The sequence below is a fragment of the Homo sapiens genome, chromosome 6, assembly GCF_000001405.40.
Source record: "Homo sapiens chromosome 6, GRCh38.p14 Primary Assembly".
In the NCBI taxonomy this organism is placed as follows: Eukaryota; Metazoa; Chordata; class Mammalia; order Primates; family Hominidae; genus Homo; species Homo sapiens.
In genome coordinates, this window is record NC_000006.12 from 90,406,535 (window position 1) to 90,426,811 (window position 20,277).

Here is a 20,277-nt window from a genome sequence, read left to right on the forward strand (position 1 = left end):
GGGCAGCGGTCCTGCAAAAGCAAAGTCGCGTTAATGTAGACAGTGAGAAGTGCTTTCAGCTCTTGGTGCCCAGGCTGAGTGTGGAGTAGATTGTCTTGATTCTCACACCTAGGAGAAGATCTGCTTCCCTGGGGCTGGAGTCCTGGGGACTTCTTTTGTCACAGGCTTCAAGTTGCAGGCGTGTTTTGATTGGGTTGGACTAATGCTGTTTTGCTTTGGGCTGGTCTATTGCCACCATGAACAAAATCAAGCTTCTACTGCAAGGAAGAAAGAGGGAATGAATGGCCATTGATCAGGCAACTAGTGGTGTCTGTTATTGTGAATAGGTGGGGAGATAATTGACCCACAGAGAGGTCCTGCCTGCTACAGGCCATGTATCCTCTGGGGCCTGGCTGTGGTAAGGCTCTGCCTCGGCACTGCTGCTGTCTTTTCCCTAAGCCCAGTGCGCTGACTTCCAGGGTCACATTCTGCGGAGTTGTAGCCTCTTATCAGCAGGCATGCCCTGTCAAGATGATAACTGTGGCAGGATACATTGGCTTGCTCTCAGGTCAGTCCAGCCTGGTGCTGGTGGGTTTCTTCATCTCATTGCATTACCTCATCTCATACCAACTTCTGCTCTCCCCACACTCCAGCCACACTGCATTCTTGTGCCTCTAACACTTTGACTCAGTTCTGCCTCAGGGCCTTTGCACTCGTTGTGCATCTGGCTGGGAACACCCTGGCTAGGGTTGTCTGCAGGACTCCCATCACTCAGGTCCCAGCCCCACTGCCTCCCCTGCAGAGGGGCCTTTCCTAACTGCCCTTTTAAAAGTGGCCTCTGCCCCCAGAACATTCCGCTTATCACCCTTCTTTGCATCAATCTTTCTCTGAGATTATATTGTTTACCACTTACTAATTTGTCTCCACATTAACTGGAATAGAAGCTTCGTGGGAGTCAGATCTTGTCTGTTGGCTTCACAACTGTAGCCTCAGCTCCTAGAAAGGGCCTGTGGGGGTCTGTCCCACAGACCCTGACCCAACAATGGATGAATAACGTACACTGACACAGATATTATGCTTGTCAGTCCAGCTGAGGGTCTGGGCCACTTACAGACTCCAAGGAGAGTGCTGTAAAGAGTGGCAGCTGTGGCACCCCTGCCTCCGCGACTAGCTGGCCCTGCTGGCATTTATTCAGCACATGTTAAATGACAAAGGCTTTGTGTCAACACCATTAGAGGGTAATCAACCTGGTTGCCTTCCCCACCAAGAGAGCCATCCTGCCCCGGAATGATCAAAAGTTAGTTTTAGGACCACATGAGTAAACAAGTTATTTAGATAAACTCCTCTACATTCCTATACATCTACTCGAAGTTATTTATTCAAGGTAAGGATTAGGCTGCTTTCAGCCATAACCCTATCCTGAGACTTTTGCAAAAACCTTCTGGCATTCCAAGAAGATTTGTGTCTATATCGTACAACTTCATCTTAAAATTTTTCCCACTAGCCTGACTGAACTCCCACAAGGGCCCAGGATGTAGGCATGATGAAATATTTAAAAATAATATCAGCTAACTTTTTGATTGTTTATATTGTACCAGGCACTGTTCCTAAGACCCTAAATGTATTATTAGCTCGTTTAATCCTCCTAACACACTTTATTATCCCAGTTTTACTGAGACACAAAGAAGTTAAATGGGATCATAGACTTAGGAAGAAGCAAAAGCAAAAGTAGCATAAATTAAGTGTACAATAAATATTTATTTAAAAAATTTTAAATTCCTTTATTTTTGTTCCTGACACCCCTGTCCAGGCAGCTTCTATTGTTTGATAGCACATAACAATCTCCTGGCACAGGTAGCTTGCAAAGCCTAATGCTTTCTCTGTCCCTACCTTCTTAATTTTCCAAGAGTACTAGTTCACATTTCCTTCTAAAGTTTTAACACACAACAATAGCATGAATATCAAACATCTGAAGGTTATTTGACAGAATTATCCACAACAAGCCCATTAACACTGCATCTTATTTTATTTTATTTTATTTTTTTGAGATGGAGTCTCACTCTGTCACCCAGGCTGAAGTGTAGTGGTGCAATCTCAGCTCACTGCAAACTCCGCTTCCTGAGTTCAAGCAATTCTCCTGCCTCAGCCTCCGGAGTCGCTAGGATTACAGGTGCCTGCCACCACCTCTGGCTAATTTTTGTAGTTTTAGTAGAGACGGGGTTTCACCATGTTGGCCAGGCTGGTCTCAGACTCCTGACCTCAATGATCTGCCTGCCTCAGCCTCCCAAAGTGCCGAGATTACAGGCATGAGCCCCCATGCCTGGTCTTGCATCTTACTTTAATTTGATATATGATACACATCACACACACATTACAAGATCTTCAATTAGATTATAAATGCTTATCCTCAAAATTCATCTGTATTAGAAGACATTACCTGGGACTTTCCACTCCATTCTCAACATCCCAGCCAAGTCAATATCTATCTACAAACACACCATTCTGTGATCATGTCTCATCCTACTTCCCCTTATCAGTGTGACCTTAATTCAGGCATAGTCCTACCATGCTGCTGCTCTCCCAGGCCTCTGTCTGCCCATGGGAGTGCTATTTCCCTTGGAAGTTCCCTTTGCCATTCTCTGGCCTTTTTCATGGCAGTCCCACTGCTTGGAGGCCGCCCTTCCTGCACGCCCACCTGCTTCCACATGTTTGGAAGCGCTTATTCACTTAGCAGGAGACATTAAGTATTCATCATTTTATTCTGCAATTATTCACTGATGCCCGGTGCCCATTATACAGCAGGCCTAAGTGCTAAGAAAACATAAATGAGAAAAACAGACATGGTGTTTGCCTCCTGAAGCAAAGTCTCCTGAGAGACAAATCTATTAATCAAAGAATCAACTGAATAGTGAGTATGATGAAGGAGTTACTGGATGTTATGAGAGTATGTAATGGTGGCCTGATCTAGTCTAGAAGAGTAAGGCAAGGCTTCTTGGGCCTTCTAGCTGAGATCTGAGGATGATTTGCGGTGAACTAGGTGAAGATGGCAGAGGGAGTTCCAGGCAAAGAGAAGAATGAGTGCAAAGGCCCTCAGGTGGAAGAGAGCACACGACCTTCCAAGAAGTAATAAGAGGCCAGAGTGACTGAGCTCAGGGAGCAAGGAGAAGAGCCCTGAGAGGTGAAGTGGGCAGGAACTACATTGAGCAGGGCCTTGGGGTCTGTGCTGCTACTACCACTGGGAAAGTTTTGGAAGGATATGGGCAGAAAAGAAATGATCTAATTTACATTAATGGCTAAAGTTTGGAGAACAGGTTAGATGACTCCAGGTTTTTTGCTATGCTAGGAACACAGGAGAGCTGTTTGGGGAGCCATTCAAGTATACATGCTGAGTCGGCAGATGCATGTACATATTTAGAGAGACCTGGGTTAAATTAGCTGTGAATTTTGAGATGGTGATTGAAATCATGGGTGGTTGGAATTGCCAAGGGAGATATAAAGAGCAGGAAAACAAGGGAGACTAGGACCAGTCTTTGATGGATTATGACCTTTAAAGTCTGAGGAGAGGGGGATTTGTCTGCAGAGGAGATTGAGGAGGAACAGCTAGGTAGGTGGAAAGGCAGAAGAGTGTAGTATACTAGAGGCTGAATTAGGAATCTTTCAAATGCATATTACTGAAATCCATCTTCAATTGATGTAACCAAAAAAAGAATAATTTATTGGCTCCTATAGCCTGAAATCAGGACTGGTCAGATATGCCTGGGTTCAAGAGCTCAAACATCCAGCTCCTTGGGAAACAGCCTCTCCCCCCATCTCTCAGTTCTGTCTCCTTCTGGATGGGCTTCTTTGCCAGGTGGATATTCCCATGTGGTGGCCTGATAGGGTCACCAGCAGAGGCTTCAGGTTTACATCCTACCCAAAGTAAAGAAATGTCCTTCTTCGATTGGTTCCAGCAACCACACCAGGTGTGACTATTGTTAGCCTAGCTTAGGCTAGATGCCCATCTCTGAGCTAGAGGTTGACATCAGCTCTACCCACACTTCACATAGACTGAAAGTTGGGAAAGGAATGGTTCCTCAAAAGAAAATCAGGGTGCTGTTACCTGAAGAAACTGAGAAGAAGCCAGGCAGGCAAGATCCCAGATGTCTATACAGATGCCGAAGTGATAAGAATTTTAAGAGGGAAAGTATATTTAAGAGTATGAAATACCGTTAAGGCTGGGTGCAGTGGCTCATGCCTGTAATCCCAGCACTTTGGGAGGCTGAGGTGGTGGATCATGAGGTCAGGAGTTCAAGGCCAGCCTGGCCAAGATGGTGAAACCCCATCTCTACTAAAAATACAAAAATTAGCTGTGGCGGCAGGCGCCTGTAATCCCTGCTGCTCGGGAGGCTGAGGCAGGAGAATCACTTGAATCTGGGTGGCAGAGGTTGCAGTGAGCCAAGATCACACCACTGCACTCCAGCCTGGGTGACAGAGTGAGGCTCCGTCTCAAAAAAAAAAAAAAAAAAAAAAAAGAAAGAAAGAAAGAAAAAAAAGAAAGAAATACCTTTAAGACACCAAGAAAGATAAGGACAGGGATTAGCCACTTGGAAGTCACTGGTGCCCTCAGACCCACACAAATAGCTCCATCACAAAGTAGGATGTGGTGGAAAACAAAATGAACAAAATGCAAGTTGAAAGGGCCACGTGAACCCAGGAGAGGAAAATCATTTAGGACGAAACAATCACGGAAAGCTTCATGTCCAAAGTAGCATTTCACTTGGGTCCTGAAGGATGGGTGATATTTTTAAAATGAAGGCCAGAGAAGTGGAGGAAGGGAGGGCACCCAGCTGACTATAGCATGAGCAAAAGTGCAATGGCAGAGATGTTTAGGGTGTGTTCACCAAGAGGTGAACAGTTCATGCTTGGTCTGATGGCTAGGGGCCAAATGTGAGTGCTGGCTAAGGAGAAGGGACTTTCTCTGTTCAATTTACAAATGAGTCAGCTGTAATTTACCTTCCCTTAGGTTATCGGCCTGAATATGTAAATGAGGGATAGCTGTCACTAGAATGAAACTGACATCTAGAAAAGCGCCTCCCTATAATCTTGCCTTTCCATATAAGGGCTCCCTGGCGTGCTTCACAGGTGAACTCTACAGCAAACGCATTCTTCTCTCTCCTTTCAGCCTTGGTCTTTCCTCTGACTCAGGGGCCTGGCTTGTGGTGCTGAGGCACCTTCCGGCTGCTGAGAATTGGACTACTCTGTCTTCTTGCTGACTGCGGCAAAGGAACGCCCGGGGTCTGACAATCACCTCTACGAGAGCAGCTTGGATGTTTCTCATCTTTCACTTGACTTTCTTATCCCTTTACTTAAATATATATATATATATATATACTTTAGAGACAGGGTCTCACTCACTATGTTGCCTAGGTTGGACTCAAACTTCTGGGCTCAAGTGATCCTCCCACCTCAGCCTCCCAAGTGGCTGGATTACAAGCATGTGCCACCACACCCTGCTCATCCCTTCAGTTTTTAGCCCAGAAAGCTGGCACTAAAAGGGATGGTAGGTTTGAGGGATTTTAGATGGAAGACAATTTAGGTGACTCTGCACTATATTATAGTCAAATATCCTGCAACCTTTGTTCCTAGAAGAAACCTGTGCATCCTGAATCTCTGACCCCTGGGAATACATTCTTTTCCCCCAGCACCTCACCTAGGAATGGTCACTTGGGTTAAGGGTTCTCAGGCTTGGTGGCCAAAAGCCAACACCTGTTCATTTATCTCCTATCTTGTACTCAGTCTCTTAAGACTTTTCTGCAACTTGGACCCTGGTGGGCCAAGTGCATTTGCCCAGAGAGAAAAATTGCACAAATTAGAACTCTGGATTGATATTTCACTTACATACCTCCACTTGGGGATCCTCAACACAGCTTAAATAGTAATGTCTTTAATGGGGGTCATCAAGGGCATTTAAGTAGGGACATGCAATGAGCAGAACCACTTTTGGAGAAGACTGCACTTGGCAGTCGTTCCCTAACAGATTTGAGAGAGCAGAGGTGGGAAATGGCAAATTGTTAGGAAACTGATAATGGGCCCAGGGAGAAAAACCTTGAACCAAGGAACTGAGCTAGATGTGGAAGGGTGGGCGTGGGTTTTAGAAACACTTCTTTAGAGGAAAACCATGATTAAAAAAGGAGAAAGAAAGAAGGAAAGGAAAGGAAAGGAAAGGAAAAAAGGAAGGTGGGATTGGGGGAAGAAGGAAAGGAAGAAAGGAAAGAAGGAAAGAAAGAGGACATGGAAATCTCTGTAGGCCAGGAACAGAGTGAGGAGGCTCAGTATCATGGGGAGGGCCTGGGAAACCTGTGGCCCCTCAGGACACAGAGATTCTGAGCTGGCAGCAGGAGCTGAGCTGAGAACAGAACTGAGCTCACTCCAGGAGCCCAGGACAAGGAGCCAAGTGTGAATGTGGGGCCAGGCCTCTGCTCTTCATTGGTGACTAGAGCTGTAAGAGCTGTGCCTGACTGTCTGGGATGGCAGTGGAAAGAGGCTCCTTCTCCACAGGTCAGGGAGGAAGCAGACTATGGCATGAAGGGGGACCCAGTTCTGTGCTGGGCAGCTTCTTAACTGAAGACTCCAGCTACCCACTGCAGTGCATGGGCATCCATCTGCGGGGGAGGGGCACTGATACACCTGTTCCACCAAGAATGCCCCATCACAGTGCCCTTGACCCAGGCTCCTCAGGAAGCCTCTTGTCTGAGACTTCTCATCTCTTCACCCCACACTGAGGGGCTCCTTGTCCTGCCATTCAGTCTCATTCGCCTCCATGGAACTAGGAACAGCTTTGCTGAAGTCCCTGGAGTGTGGAGGGTCACCTCATTTATCCCATCTCAGAGCCAGACAGTTGACATCATCAGAGTGACCGGGCGTCTTTGGTTGTGCCGACTCCTCTTTGCCATGCGTGGCACCCCCCCGCCCCCCACTCCTCCTGTTATTGTGCCAACCCCAGCAGGGCAATGCCTTGCCCCAGGAAAGGGGAAGCTTTTTCCATAGAGCTGCTTTCCAGCAAAACTGGAACCCTCCTGAGTGAAAGCCCAGTGACCACGCAGCCCACGAGGGCTGGGACCCAGAGTGCGGGACGGGGATTCGTGGTGTATGCCCAGGGCCTTTGGTGCCAGAGGGAAGGATGATGAGGCTGTAGAATTCCTGTTCCCGCTCCTGGGAGAGGGACTGGAGAGGATTCCCTGCGATGGGTTTCTGAATGGCTACCAGAAACAAACAAGCACATCCATCGACAAGCCGTGGTAATTAGAAGGGAAACAACGATAGTGAAGTTACCTTTCTCCATTCATTCCGCAAGCATTTTTGAGTGTTTATTTCTGGCGCAGAGCTATTTTAGGGGCGGGGGGAGAGCATGTGAGGAAGAGGAAAGGGAATTGGTCCAACTCGCCAGCTTGAGAGGGGAGAGGCTGGCGGGGGATGGGCAGTATTAGTGTTTGGTCTGTGGAAGATGAAACGCAGCTCTGCTCTGTGGGCGGGCCTTTGATCTTCCAGTAACTGCTAGAGTAGCAATTAGCATCCTTAATGCTGAGGGGAGTCTCTGAGAAGCCCTTTAGCCTGCTGATCTAGGTTAGTAGATCCGGAAGTGTGGGTGCCTGTGAGCGAGTGTGTGTGTGTGTGTGTGTGTGTGTGTGTGGGAGACAGAGAGAGAGAGAGGGAGACAGAGAGAGAAAGAGAGAGAGACAGAGAGAGAAAGAGAGAGAGACAGAGAGAGAGAGACAGAGAGAGAGAGAGAGACTGAAATGGGTTTATTAGATGTTTGATGTTTCTTCCACAATACAGTTTTTCATATTTGAGAATGATGTGACACCTTCCAAATAAAATTCAGTTTTGTGTAGAAAATTGAATCATCTAAGCACTTACACTGAAAAGTCACAAAGTCCTAAATTTACAGGAAAACAGGACTCGTAAAACTTATAACACTGAGTAAAATATTATGCTCCAGAGCCCCTTTCAGACTTCTGGTCTGGGACAACCCTTCCCTTGTAGCCCCATGGTTCCATCAGCCCCGCGGTTGAGCTCTAGAAGCTGGCTGAATTTAAGTTTCCACTGGGCGATTTTGTGGACCCTATTTCAGTGACTTCACCTTTTTGAACCTCAGTTTCACATCTATAGATGGAGATAACCCGTAGCACAGGGCTAAACTCTCTCATCAGGTTATTTCTTTTTCTTTACTGTTTAAAAATGAGAATTAAATGAAATCATTTCTGTAAAGTACTGAGCCCACTAGAAAAGACCTGAAATAAAGTCTTAGAAGGGAAGTATTAAAAGGGAAGACTTTTTTTCCTTCAACAGCTGCTGAATAGGATGGGGGAATTGGAAGCCAAAAAATTTTAAAACTTAATTTAACTTAAAAATTTAAATAAAATAATTAGCTAGGTGTGGTGATGTGCACCTGTAGTCTCAGCTACTCAGGAGGCTGAGGCAGAAGGATAAATAAATTAATGTTGACACAGATACTATAATATAGACAAAAGAGGGGTGCCCATGATGGATAGCTGGAGAAAGGGAAAGACGATTTCTGTGTAGGGAAGGGGGCTGGAAAAAGAGGAGGCAGGAGAGCAACACAGGGGCTGGGGGGAGACGGGGGAAGGGAGGCATCCCCATGGGTGCCCCAACATCTAATGCTGGGCAATTCTGACCCTCAGCCCACATGCCCTCCCCTTTACCTGCCCTGACTTGGCTGGACCCGGACAGCCCAAGCCCTTCCTCCTCCACCCTGGCCGTATCCAACCCAGGCCAGGTGACTTTCCCTACAGCTCACCTGCTTCCTGTGCCATTCTCATTTCCACAGCCACAGCTCTCAACCCACACTGAGCTGGGGGCCCCATTGGCTCTCCTGAGTCCCTCCACCCATCTGCCCTAGCCCACAATGAATAGCTGCCCTGCTGCAGGCCTGGTGTTCCCTCTGCTTTATTGCATCATATGTTTTAATTTAATGAATTGATTATTTTTTTAAAATGACAAAACATTTCAAACATAAAACTACCCACTGTCAATATTTAACAAATGTTAGCTTTCTGCCATATTTACTTCAGATTTTTTTTAATTTTTATTTTTATTTTAGACAGGATCTTCCTCTGTCTCCCAGGCTGGAATGCAGTGGTGTAATCATAACTCACTGTAACCTCCAACTCCTGGGCTCGACTGATGCTCCTGCCTCAGCCTCCCGAGTAACTGGGACTGCAGGTGCATGCCATCATGCCCTGTAGGATTTTTTAAAGGTATGAAAAAATTACAGATAGAATTGGAATCTTCTCTTTGTTCCACCCCAGAGCTAACTATTCTCTTGAAGTTGGTTCTTATTTCTTTTTCATGCTTTTGAATTTTATGGTATATGTATGGATCCACAAACAATATTGCCTGTAGTGCTGTTTGGGGTAGTTACAATGTTTAAATAAATAGTATTTTGCTGTTTTTATTCAATATTGTGTTTCCAAGACTTATCCTATTTTGATGCTTGTAGAACTAGCTCATTCACATGTAAACCACTACATAGTTTCCATCTAGGAATGTATCATAATTATGTTTCAATCCCCAGTTGATGAATATTTAGGTTGCTTCACTATTTTTCTATGACAATATGTCTAAAATATTATTGTGTAGTTATTCTTGTGCACTTGTATCTTAGTATTTCTAATCTGTGTATGGTGTACAAACTTCAACTTTCTGGGTGCTACTAAATTGCTCTCCAAAATGGTTACCCTTCTATCAGGACTGAATGAGAATTCTAATTCCCTCACAACCTTCCCAATACTTAGTAATGTATGATGAACATTTTGCCACTGTTTTACTTTGCATTTCTGTGATTAGTATTGAAGGTGAGCATCTCTTTAAATGTTTTTTAGCCATTCAGGTTTTCATCTTCTGTGAATTATTTGCTTGGTTTCTCTTTGGGGTTTACTTTATCCTATTTATTTGTAGGAGCTCTTCAAGCACTCTGGGCAGTGATGCTTTGCTGGTTACATGTCTATCTTAGGAACACTTGGCAAGAGCAGGGATAGTGTTCTTCTCAATGGCATACCTGAATTCACTAGTTGGTTCTTTTATATAACAGTGAGAAATAAATTAAAACAGGGTATGAAAATTAACTTAAAGATTTTTCAAGCAAGTCTTTTTTGTTTTCCAACCAAGATAATATTAGATCTAAATAACTATTAACTATGCTATTTTTTCAGCTTCTGCTGCTGAAGTTCCTACTTGTATTTCAAAAGTCTGCATAGTTAAGAGCCAGTCCTCCGTTCTGCCCCATCTTGAGAAAGGTGGACTCAAAGGCTGTCATTCAGCGGACATAACCTTGCAACTGTTTCCTAGTTAGGGAAGGTGTCCTAACTCCCTTTTTATAAACTAGAATAATTGGCAAAGATGGAATGCAACTGTAACTTGTTCTTTTCTTATTCGGGACACCGAGAAATGGGCTTTTCTCTTCTCTAATGATATAAACATTATAAAGAAGCCAGCATACACCATTTTTCTGAATCAAGAGTAAACATGAAAATTATATGCTTTGTAATTTTCCTTCAGCCATCTGCCACTGCTCATGAGTCCTCATATAGCTTTATCTTGGGTCACTTCTCTTTCCACACAAAACGGATGCTGATGTGCATTATCTGAATCTATTCATCAGAGAGATTTCCCCTCACCACTCTTTCTGAGACACCTTGAATTGGGCTGTTGTATGGAAACATTCCATTTTCAGCTTGTAACAGTTTACAAAGCCACTCCACCCACGAACCAAGCTCTTGTACCCTCTGGATTCTCTTGAGCCTGATCCCAAATATACCATTTTCATTTTGCAATAGCTTGTTCAAGACCCATGCAGTTTAGGCCTTGTTGAGCCTGGCATTGTCTGGCTTCCACCAGGGCCTAGAAGCATGTCAGGAACTGATTTTCAAATGGTCTATGGTTCTCTGCTGTAGACTGCAGGGTCTTGCACCAGAACCCTAAATGTTTTCTGTTAGCACTTGCCAGAGGCTCCACAGATTGTCTTTCTCCATCACAGACACTTCTAAGTGCTGAGAGATCTTTTTGGTCATGTGGCCCAAGTGGCAAGGCTGCTAGTGCTGAAGTCTGGGCCTGCTACCGAGCTCTGTCTTGTTATTAAAGCTAGCAGCCTTTCATGTCACCTAACAGTACCTTCAGACTCTGTTGTGACAGAGAGCAGGAAAATTAACATAGCCCTGGACAAAACTATAAATCTATATTGTTGTCTGTCCCATGTGAATGCAAACTGCCTCTGATCCTCCTTCAGGCCAGACCAGTGACCTCACACCACGTCCTGAAGCTGTGTTCATCTGCTCTAGCAAAGACACCACATCTGGCACAGAAGCTGCAACTGGGGCTCCTACTTGGTTAAGTTAGAGCAGTTAACCATCAAGTGCCTTCATCCATTCAATTTATATGAGAGAGAATCTATTGAATTAAAAGGGGATATATAACAAAGACCAACACTCTTGAGTCCCCCAAGTCTTGAAGGGTGACAATAATCCCGCCACCCCCTCCAGGGCTGATATTGTTTAGATTTTCTGTCCTGGTCAGAGGAGAGTTTCAGGGGCATCTGCTTGGCTTTTCCTACCTCAAGTTCTTATTTTATAGGTCAAAAAATAAACAAATGTGAGCTTTCTGCCAACTCCTAAGTATGCCTACTCCAAATATGCATTTAGGAACCAAGGAAACGACCATGAGATGGGTCTGTGCATGAGTGAAACCTGCTGTGAGATGGCACTAGGTGAGAACTCCATCGACTATCTAACCTCCCCATTTACTACTACTCCAATGGGAGGGCCATGGTGGTACTTTGAGTAGTCCCCTTCTCCTAATATATGTTTATCTGAGCAAGTGGCCATAGGATGTCTTGGGAAAGACTGGGAGAATCAATACAGTATATTCTTGCCATGGTGGTACAGAGCCCAACCTCATGGAGACTCAGTCTGTCCTTTTGTCAGTGGGTTCTGGTTAGAAAACTGGTTCTGGCCTGGGCACTGAGCAGGAGGAGATCATGTTTCTCTACTGGGCTGGCTGACTCCAGGCTTCTGCTCCTCTATTCTTGATCTCTGTATCTTTTTTTTTTTTTTTTTTTGAGATGGAGTCCTTCTCCTTGCTCTGTCGCTCAGGCTAGAGTGCAGTGGCATGACCTTGGCTAACTGCAACCTCTGCCTCCCGGGTTCAAGTGATTCTCATGCCTCAGTTTCCCGAGTAGCTGGGACTACAGGCACGCCACCATGCCCGGCCAAATTTTTTTTTTTTTTTTTTGTATTTTTGGTAGAGATGGGGTTTTACCATGTTTCCCAGGGTGGTCTCAAACTCCTGGGCTCAAGTGATCCTCCTGCCTCGGCCTTCCATATTCTTGATCTCTTTTAAATATGCCTTTGTTAGTTGCCCATCTGTGTTGCCCTAAGAACACCATGTTCCTTGAGCTACCTTCATAGATCCCTGTAGATCTATGCTGCCATTGCATCCTTGCTGCCTGTTATTGAAGTCACACCCATCTTATGTTTGATGGTTAGATATTGCCATTTGGCCTTTGCTCCTCTGGGATACCATTGCTTCCATTGCTTTCAGGGAGCTGAGATATGAATTGGCATCTTCTGTTTTCCACTCTCATTTACAAAGAACATGCATCTTGAGCTTTGTTGGCATTCCCTCACCAGTGCACTCTTTCTCACCTTGGAAAATAGACTGTTCTCCAGGAAGGACTGACCCCATAGTGGTCAGCCAGCAGGATTAGATCCATTCTAGCATGTCTTCTTCTCTGAGCCTTTTGATCCGTTTCTCTACAGTTTGCCACTACAATAATCACATCTCGACTTTACTGAATGTGAACTATCACTTTTTCTAAGATTTTAAGAGGAATCTAAGCAGAGTATTAGAAACGTCACCTAGGGCCCTTGGGAGGATGTTAAATTTTGTTAAAGGTTATGGCAGAGTGCCCCCATATCAGTAAACTCCCCCTTATTTAACTTTAGGTTTCACTCACCTTGATCTGGTACCCAGAGAATCCTCTCCTTGCATGTCCTCCTCACTCTTGCCAAATCACCCCCATTCCTGTTTTCTTGTTAGCCAGGTCCTGCAGCAACCTTGACATCATCTCTCTCCACCCTTAGCAGGCCCTCCTCCCCATTTTGGTTCTGCTGAGATTTGATCCTAAGTATGAAGCTGGTGGCCATGGAAAGAGCAGATCCCGGAGGTCAAGCTCCTTCTTCATTTGATGCCTCTAAATAGTTTTCAGGAAAGTAGTAAGGGGGGACTTTTTTTTTTAAGTTCCAGAAGTTTCCGAAGAAACTGGAGATCTAAGGCTCTCATTTGAATCTACCCAGATATCACATCCCAGCTCTCAGGATCCCTCTCATTCCCCATGGGGACCCTGACTTTGACATAGGAGACTGGCCTAGGCTGAGAATTCAGTCTTCTCTGAAGTTCTGCCATTCATCTGATTAAGCTTTGTGCCCATCTTTTGGTTGTCCTCTGCCCTCTGGCTGCAGAAGATTAGTCTCTTTAAAGCCTGTTAAGAGGCCCCCACCCCCTAATTCTCACACTTTGCTTTCAGTGGTTAATAAATCTGAGTCTGTCATTTTCTTTCACCCTTCAATCAGTGGTACTTAGCAACAGCGGCTAAATTCCACAGTCCTTATAATGTTCATTTCCCTCATCTCTCCCAATGCCTGGGACATTGTACCAGCTAGTGTATCTGTGACCACCCATATTCATCCCATCCTAGTTCATTGCGGGGGAAAGTCTTAGCTGATTGCTTTCCATATTACCCTTAAAATCTGTTTAAGTATTATAATCATATTTACTGTATAGACTTTTTCTGATTGTTCTGTTACCTTAGTTCCTGGGTCTGCATGCCCCGCTCTTCCTCATAGCAGTTTATTTCCTTCCGTAAGTGTAATACTTTACTGCGAACTCAGCTGCAATCAAGTTTTCTGTGGAAGTCTCATTTGAGCTGTTTCCTTTATGTCTTCCTCTGCAGAGACTCTAGGACTCTTGTCGGTTCCGGACCAGTTTTTTAAAATCCTATATCGTGCTGGTATCACAAATTTGGATACCACAGACAAAGGCTCAAGCTTAGCTTTCTGATTATTCATAGGTGATTCTCTTTGCCTAGTGCCCAGGAGATAGATGCTCCCTTGGGCTTGCAGGAGGAGCTGGCCAGGGTCCTATTTCACAGATGGTGAAAAATAATGCTGTTGCCATGCCTTGCCTCTGAATAGCTGAAGCCTCAATTCTTCTGTTCCTCTAAAGACATTAAAATATTAGCCTCAAGCCCCGAAGGCCCACGCCTGGGTCTGTTGGCTGTGTGGTCCCCAACACTTCTATTCTTACCATTTTAGGTTTTGGTGCCGGCTTCTTTCCCAGCTCCTGGAAAATTTCCTTTCTTTAGTTTGAGCTCAACTATATAGTAAGTAAATCATTTTGCTTTATTTTATCCCACAATTTTAGGTGTTTCTAGTGGGAAAGTGGCCTGAACTTGTCAGTTCCATCTACCACATTTACTGGAAATTATACCAATTTATTTTCAGAAAGCATGCTGGTTAGTCCACTGCAGTCAGAGAGGATTTTATGGAAAAATCCAACAGATGGTAACTTCAGGTATTATAGCCATAAATGCAGGGAAGTTTTTCTCTAAGCTTGGAATGGGATTTCCATTACTCTGTACTCAATATGTGAACATTATATTTTTCTTTACGGTGGAAGGAACCACTGTTTCTAATGGAAGCAGTTGGTGTTTATATATTTCTTATTCCTAAAGGTCACAGGATCATTAATGTGACAACATCATCCTGCTAGAAGTGACATTCAAGCAGCAGTAATATGTTGAGCCATTCCCTGGTGATTAGGGGAAACTTCAAAGTGATAAAATACAGAAAATGAATATATAAATAGAAGTAGTCGAGAATTTCCAGATAATCTTGATAAATGGAGCAAGGAAAAAATAGGTGCATTTCACTTAGATTTCAGAGAGATGATTTCGGGTTGCATTTGAGTACTCAACTTAAATCTGCCTCCAGGCACTAGAAAATGGTGGAGCTGACACCTACACAACAGATCACAATGGATTTCGCTACCCTGACAGCAAGACAGAGGTCATATATATATGTAGATATATATTTTTTCTTTTCTGTCAGAGATATTCCCAGCGCATAAGGCAAGTGAAGGCACATTTTCACTCATCTGTTGGCAGATATGTCTACAGTTGCCATCCTTTCCAACCTGCTTCCTGCACATGGCATAATTAAAGGGCCTATGAGCTAAAGGCTGGACCACAATATGCCTAGAGGGGTCCAGAGAGACAGTGGAAGTCAGTAATGCTTAAAAACAGGAAGAAAAAAACTGTCATGCAAAGACACACTGAGAGCAGAGCTGTGGCCAAAATGATCACATGTGAGGCAGGAGCTGAGGGCAGGCATCCAAGAGAACTGTATTTGATCTTCATTTTTAAATATCAGATGTGTAGTTTTAGGGTTGAGGAGCTAAAAATAGGCAGCACTCCATATAACCCACTCCCTCCAATTTTTTATAATTAATTCTCAAACAGCTTGTATTTCTCTACCATCATGTATTAAGAGGTATATTGAGGACAGTACTTGAAAATGTCCTAGAAATAAAATACAAATTTTAAGTCATAGGCTTATATGAGTAATGAGTAATATACTGATATCTATTCTTTTTTTTTTTTTTGAGACAGAGTTTCGCTCTTGTTGTCCAGGCTGGGGTGCAACGGTGCTATCTCAGCTCACCGCAACCTCTGCCTCCCCGGTTCAAACAATTCTCCTGCCTCAGCCTCCTCAGTAGCTGGGATTATAGGCATGTGCCACCACGTCCGGCTGATTTTGTATTTTTCAGTAGAGATGGGGTTTCTCCATGTTTGTCAGGCTGGTCTCGAACTCCCGACCTCAGGTGATCCACCCGCCTCAGCTTCCCAAACTGCTGGGATTACATATATCAAAGAATATTTGTCATGTCATGCTTTCAAAAAGTATTTATGTTTTTAATTTTTTCTATATTTTCATCTTTTTAAATTTATGCTTTCTCAGGTTGAATAAAAAAGTATTTAGACGTGATATTCCAGGTGCCTCTATCATGGGACATCACTGATTTTAAGTAAAATACAATGAACATTTATTTGAAGGCTGTGTATATTTTGTTTGGTTTTATACACAGCATGTAAATCATGATTGCATGTGTTTAATATTTTGGCAGGAAAACTGCATATAGAGGAAAGCAATAAAAACTATGCATCACATCATTTGTATATATATATTTTTTAGTACTTTACTGTGTTTCCCCCTTGTCACATTGGTTTGGTTTTAGTGGTTTGGTCTATTTTCTCTCATTCCTTTGTTTTTCCTTTTCAAGTTTTCCTATATATGTTTATTTTATATATTCCCTGGGTTTCCCATGTCTATTATTTCCACTTCTTTTTGAGCAATTTACTTACTTTGTTTCCTCCCAATTAAGCATGTATTCCCATCCAAGACCTATTAATATTAAGAGTTGCTTTTTCCAAATGGTGATCCAAACAATGTGCACACTAGGATGAAAGCAACTTTAGTACAGTTTTCCACTAAGAGCAGTGCCTTCTGTATATGAACTTGGCTTCTCAAAATCTCAACTCCCTTATTCCTCCTGGTGACCTGGCAGCACACAGGACACGTTTCTATCTCTAAAGGGTCACAGGAAGCTCAGGCTTATTGGATCATCATCCCAAGCTTTTACTCAGGAAAAGTTTTCAAGTGTAGGGGATAGGGCTGCTAAGAGAAAAACGTACTCTTCACTGTTAACCTTTCTACCTATGGTTTTATCGTCTTAAAACCCATATATTCTGGATTCTGGGAGTTTCTCTGAAACATGCTTTAGGGTGAGCAGAGTTTTTTTTACAACTCTGTATGAAAATAGCTCAGGTGAATAGGACGTAAGCACTGAATGGGAGGGTGAGTGTCAAAGAGAGGAGTTGGATGACTTCAAGGTTCTGACTTGGGTGGTTGAGAAGAGGGTACAGCCATTCACCGAAGGAATAGCAAAGGATGAGCAAGTTTTAAGGGAAGGATAAATAATTTAAGTTTTATTTATAGCTTCATGACACCTAATTGACATATAATGAGCAGCTCACATTTAAAATGTAAAATCTAATGGGTTTTAACATGTTTGTACCCCATGAAAGCATTACCATGGTCAACATAATAAACATTTCCATCATCTTCAAAAGCTTCCTGGTGTTCCTTTATAATCCATCACTCCATCTGTGCCCTGTCATCCCAGGGAACCACTGATCTGCTTTCTGTCACTGTATATTAGTTTGGATTTTCTAGAATTTGACATGAATTGAATACTATATGAATTACTCCTTTTTGTTTGGCTTCTCCCATTCAGCATAATTATTTTGAATCTATCCACGTTGTGTGTATCAATAGTTCACTTCCTTTTATTGCTGAGTAATATTCCATTGTATAGATACACCAAAATTTTTTATTCATTCACCTGTCGATGGACATTTGGGTTGTTTTTAATTTAGACTGTTACAAATAAAGCTGCTAGGAACATGAGTGTACAAGTCTTTGTGTGTACAGATGATGTTTTTCTTTCTCTTGGGCATGCTTTCATTTATAGCTTGGGTAAGTATCTATGAGTGGGATAGCTAAATTATATGGTTAAGTATATGTTTAACTTTTAAAGAAACTGACAAACCATTTTCCAAAGTGATGATATCATTTTACATTCCCACCAGCAGTATATGGGAGAGCTTCAGTTGCTCTACATCCTTGCCAACACATGATATGGTCTAGCTTTTTAATTTTAGCCATTCTAGTGGGTATGCAGTGCTATCTTGTTGTGGTTTGATTTGCATTTCCATAATGACTAATAATGTCGAGCATCTTCTAACGTGTTTATTTGCCATCTGTATATCTTTTTGTTAAAGTATCTATTTAAATCTTTTGCTCATTTAAAAAATTGAGCTGTTTGTCTTATTATTGAATCACAGTAGCTCAATAATAAGGTCTTTGTTGGATATATGTTTTTTGTTGAAGCTATGATTTGCAAATATTTTTTATACCAGTCTGTGGCTTGCCTTTTCATTTCCAATAATTTATTTTTAAACATAGTGAATCTGACATTTCTATGAGACATACAAGTAGAGCTCTCCAGCAGGGAGTCAGATATGGAGGTCTAGAGTCTAGAAGAGCTAGATGAAGACTCAGGATCTGTGAGTGAAAGGAGAAGATGACTACAAAGGGGCAGGAAGCACCATTTGGGGGTGATTGAACTGTTCTATGTCTTGATTTTAGTGGTGGTTATATATGGCTGTATACAATTATACACACTCAGAACTGTACACCCAAAACAGTGAATTTTACTTTTGTAAATTTACCTTAATAAAACAATTTTAATGGGGCAATAGTTGAAACAAACAAAAAAGTTGATCATTATTGAAGCTGGGTGATGGGTACATGAGGGTACTTTATATTATTCTCTGGTTGTTTGTAGGTTAAATTTCCAAAGTAAAAAGGAATAAAAACAACAACAATGACAGAGCAAACCCCTTGACCTCACATTCCCCTCTCACAATCATACCACTTCTGGGCCTCCTGTCTAAAAAAATTTCTTGAAAGAGTTGACTACAGACACAATTTTCGCATCTTCACCTTCCATTCAAGCTTTTCTCCCCACAACTCCGTGGACTCATGTCAAGGTTCTTGAGGTCATTGAAGACCTATTGACCTTCATGTAGCCCAAACAAGAGGTCATTTTCTTTCCTCACTTGACTCATCTCTCAGCGACATTCGTTAGTTTCTTTTCTTGGTCTCTGTCTCATCTTTCATACTCTTGGTGTTCCTCCTCTCTATTCACATCTTTTTAGTTTCATTTTCTGTCTTCTCTTTCCAAAACCTCTAAACTGTGACATGTATGAGGGTTAGCTTCTTAGCCCCAGTTCGCTCTCTCTTTTTTTTTTTTACACTCTTACTTCATCAGGGACTATGGCTTTAAATACTGTCTCTATGCCTATGACCACCAAATCAACACCTATGGCCCTGACCTCACCCCAAAGCCCCAAAGTCATATATCTAATGTCTTATTTGACATCTTCATCTGGAAGTCTACTAGGCTTCTCAAAAGTAAAATGTCTACAAAATTGAAAGGGTTATTTTCTCATACCTGTACTCTAGCCTACATATCCCAGTAAATGGCACTGTGTCCCCCAAGTCACTTGAGCTAAAAACTTAGAAATCATCCTTGCCTCCTCTCTTGCCATCTGTCATCTCCCACCATCCCCATTATTATCCATCTACTTCTGAAACGCTTACTGAATGCTTTCAATTTTCATTTCCACTACCATGATCCTAATTCAAGCTACCATATCCTTAGCTGTATGCATTTCTTGCCCCTACTCCTCTCTTTGATAAATATTTATGCTTAATTTAAGTTCTAAATTTCCATATGTAGTTTTATGAATGGTGCCTATAATATATGAAACTTTAAATTTAAATTTCTATAAAACTACAACACTCTACTCTTTCGTTTCTTAGAGACAGAGCCTGAATTTTTTAAAGTAGTACTGAAGAAAATTGAGGCATTTTATTAAAATGAAGATGGGGAAAATATGGAAATCCCCTGTCTAGTTCAAAGTCAAGACTGCATAGCTAAATTTGAAGACGGAGTTTAGTGCCAAGTCACTGTTAAGAAAGTACATGCTCTTTGTGCAGGGAAATCGAATGCTTGAAAACCAATAATATTTGGACTGGTTGGTACAGATTAAATCTTGGAAGTAACCTTCTGGTTTTGGTCTGTCTTTAGAAACATGGAGATAATCCTAGGAGAGAGAAACACTGGTTCCTTTTAGATCTGTTTGATTTCATTAGGACTAATTTATCAGTAAGCCATTGGGAACCTGGAAATTAGTAGATGAACAAGGCAGCACAAGTTAATTAATTAAAAATTAATTAGTCACCACAAATTTCATGTCAGCTGCTCACAGGTCTATGTTTTTTGTTGTTGTTATTGGTCTGGATACAAACAAGAAAAAGTCCTTATGTTCCTTATCTCACTTCTGACTTAATAGATCAAGCTCTTTTGGTTTTTCTCTTAAGAATTATTTACCAAAGTGTCAATATCTTGGAACCTTTCCCCAAATTTTCTACAATCTCCTTAAATCAAGTACTGCAATAGAATATTTTTATAGAAAAGAGGCTGATTACATGCCTGTAATTGCAGCACTTTGGGAAGCTGAAGTGGGAGGATTGCTTGAGCCCAGGAGTTCAAGACCAG

At 42.6% G+C, this 20,277-nt stretch overlaps 5 annotated features.

Annotated features, from left to right (window-relative positions):
- Positions 949-1,485: an enhancer, noted in NCBI's record as "OCT4-NANOG hESC enhancer chr6:91117202-91117738 (GRCh37/hg19 assembly coordinates)". NCBI's record gives its function as "activates a minimal SCP1, AML or CMV promoter by ChIP-STARR-seq in naive H9 embryonic stem cells {active_cell/tissue: H9 hESC(naive)}" and the evidence as "EXISTENCE:reporter gene assay evidence [ECO:0000049][PMID:30033119]".
- Positions 4,903-5,262: an enhancer, noted in NCBI's record as "active region_24835". NCBI's record gives its function as "activates an Ori minimal core promoter by ATAC-STARR-seq in GM12878 lymphoblastoid cells {active_cell/tissue: GM12878}" and the evidence as "EXISTENCE:reporter gene assay evidence [ECO:0000049][PMID:35858748]".
- Positions 6,284-7,225: an enhancer, noted in NCBI's record as "NANOG-H3K4me1 hESC enhancer chr6:91122537-91123478 (GRCh37/hg19 assembly coordinates)". NCBI's record gives its function as "activates a minimal SCP1, AML or CMV promoter by ChIP-STARR-seq in primed H9 embryonic stem cells {active_cell/tissue: H9 hESC(primed)}" and the evidence as "EXISTENCE:reporter gene assay evidence [ECO:0000049][PMID:30033119]".
- Positions 7,226-8,167: an enhancer, noted in NCBI's record as "OCT4-NANOG-H3K4me1 hESC enhancer chr6:91123479-91124420 (GRCh37/hg19 assembly coordinates)". NCBI's record gives its function as "activates a minimal SCP1, AML or CMV promoter by ChIP-STARR-seq in primed H9 embryonic stem cells {active_cell/tissue: H9 hESC(primed)}" and the evidence as "EXISTENCE:reporter gene assay evidence [ECO:0000049][PMID:30033119]".
- Positions 18,742-19,031: an enhancer, noted in NCBI's record as "active region_24836". NCBI's record gives its function as "activates an Ori minimal core promoter by ATAC-STARR-seq in GM12878 lymphoblastoid cells {active_cell/tissue: GM12878}" and the evidence as "EXISTENCE:reporter gene assay evidence [ECO:0000049][PMID:35858748]".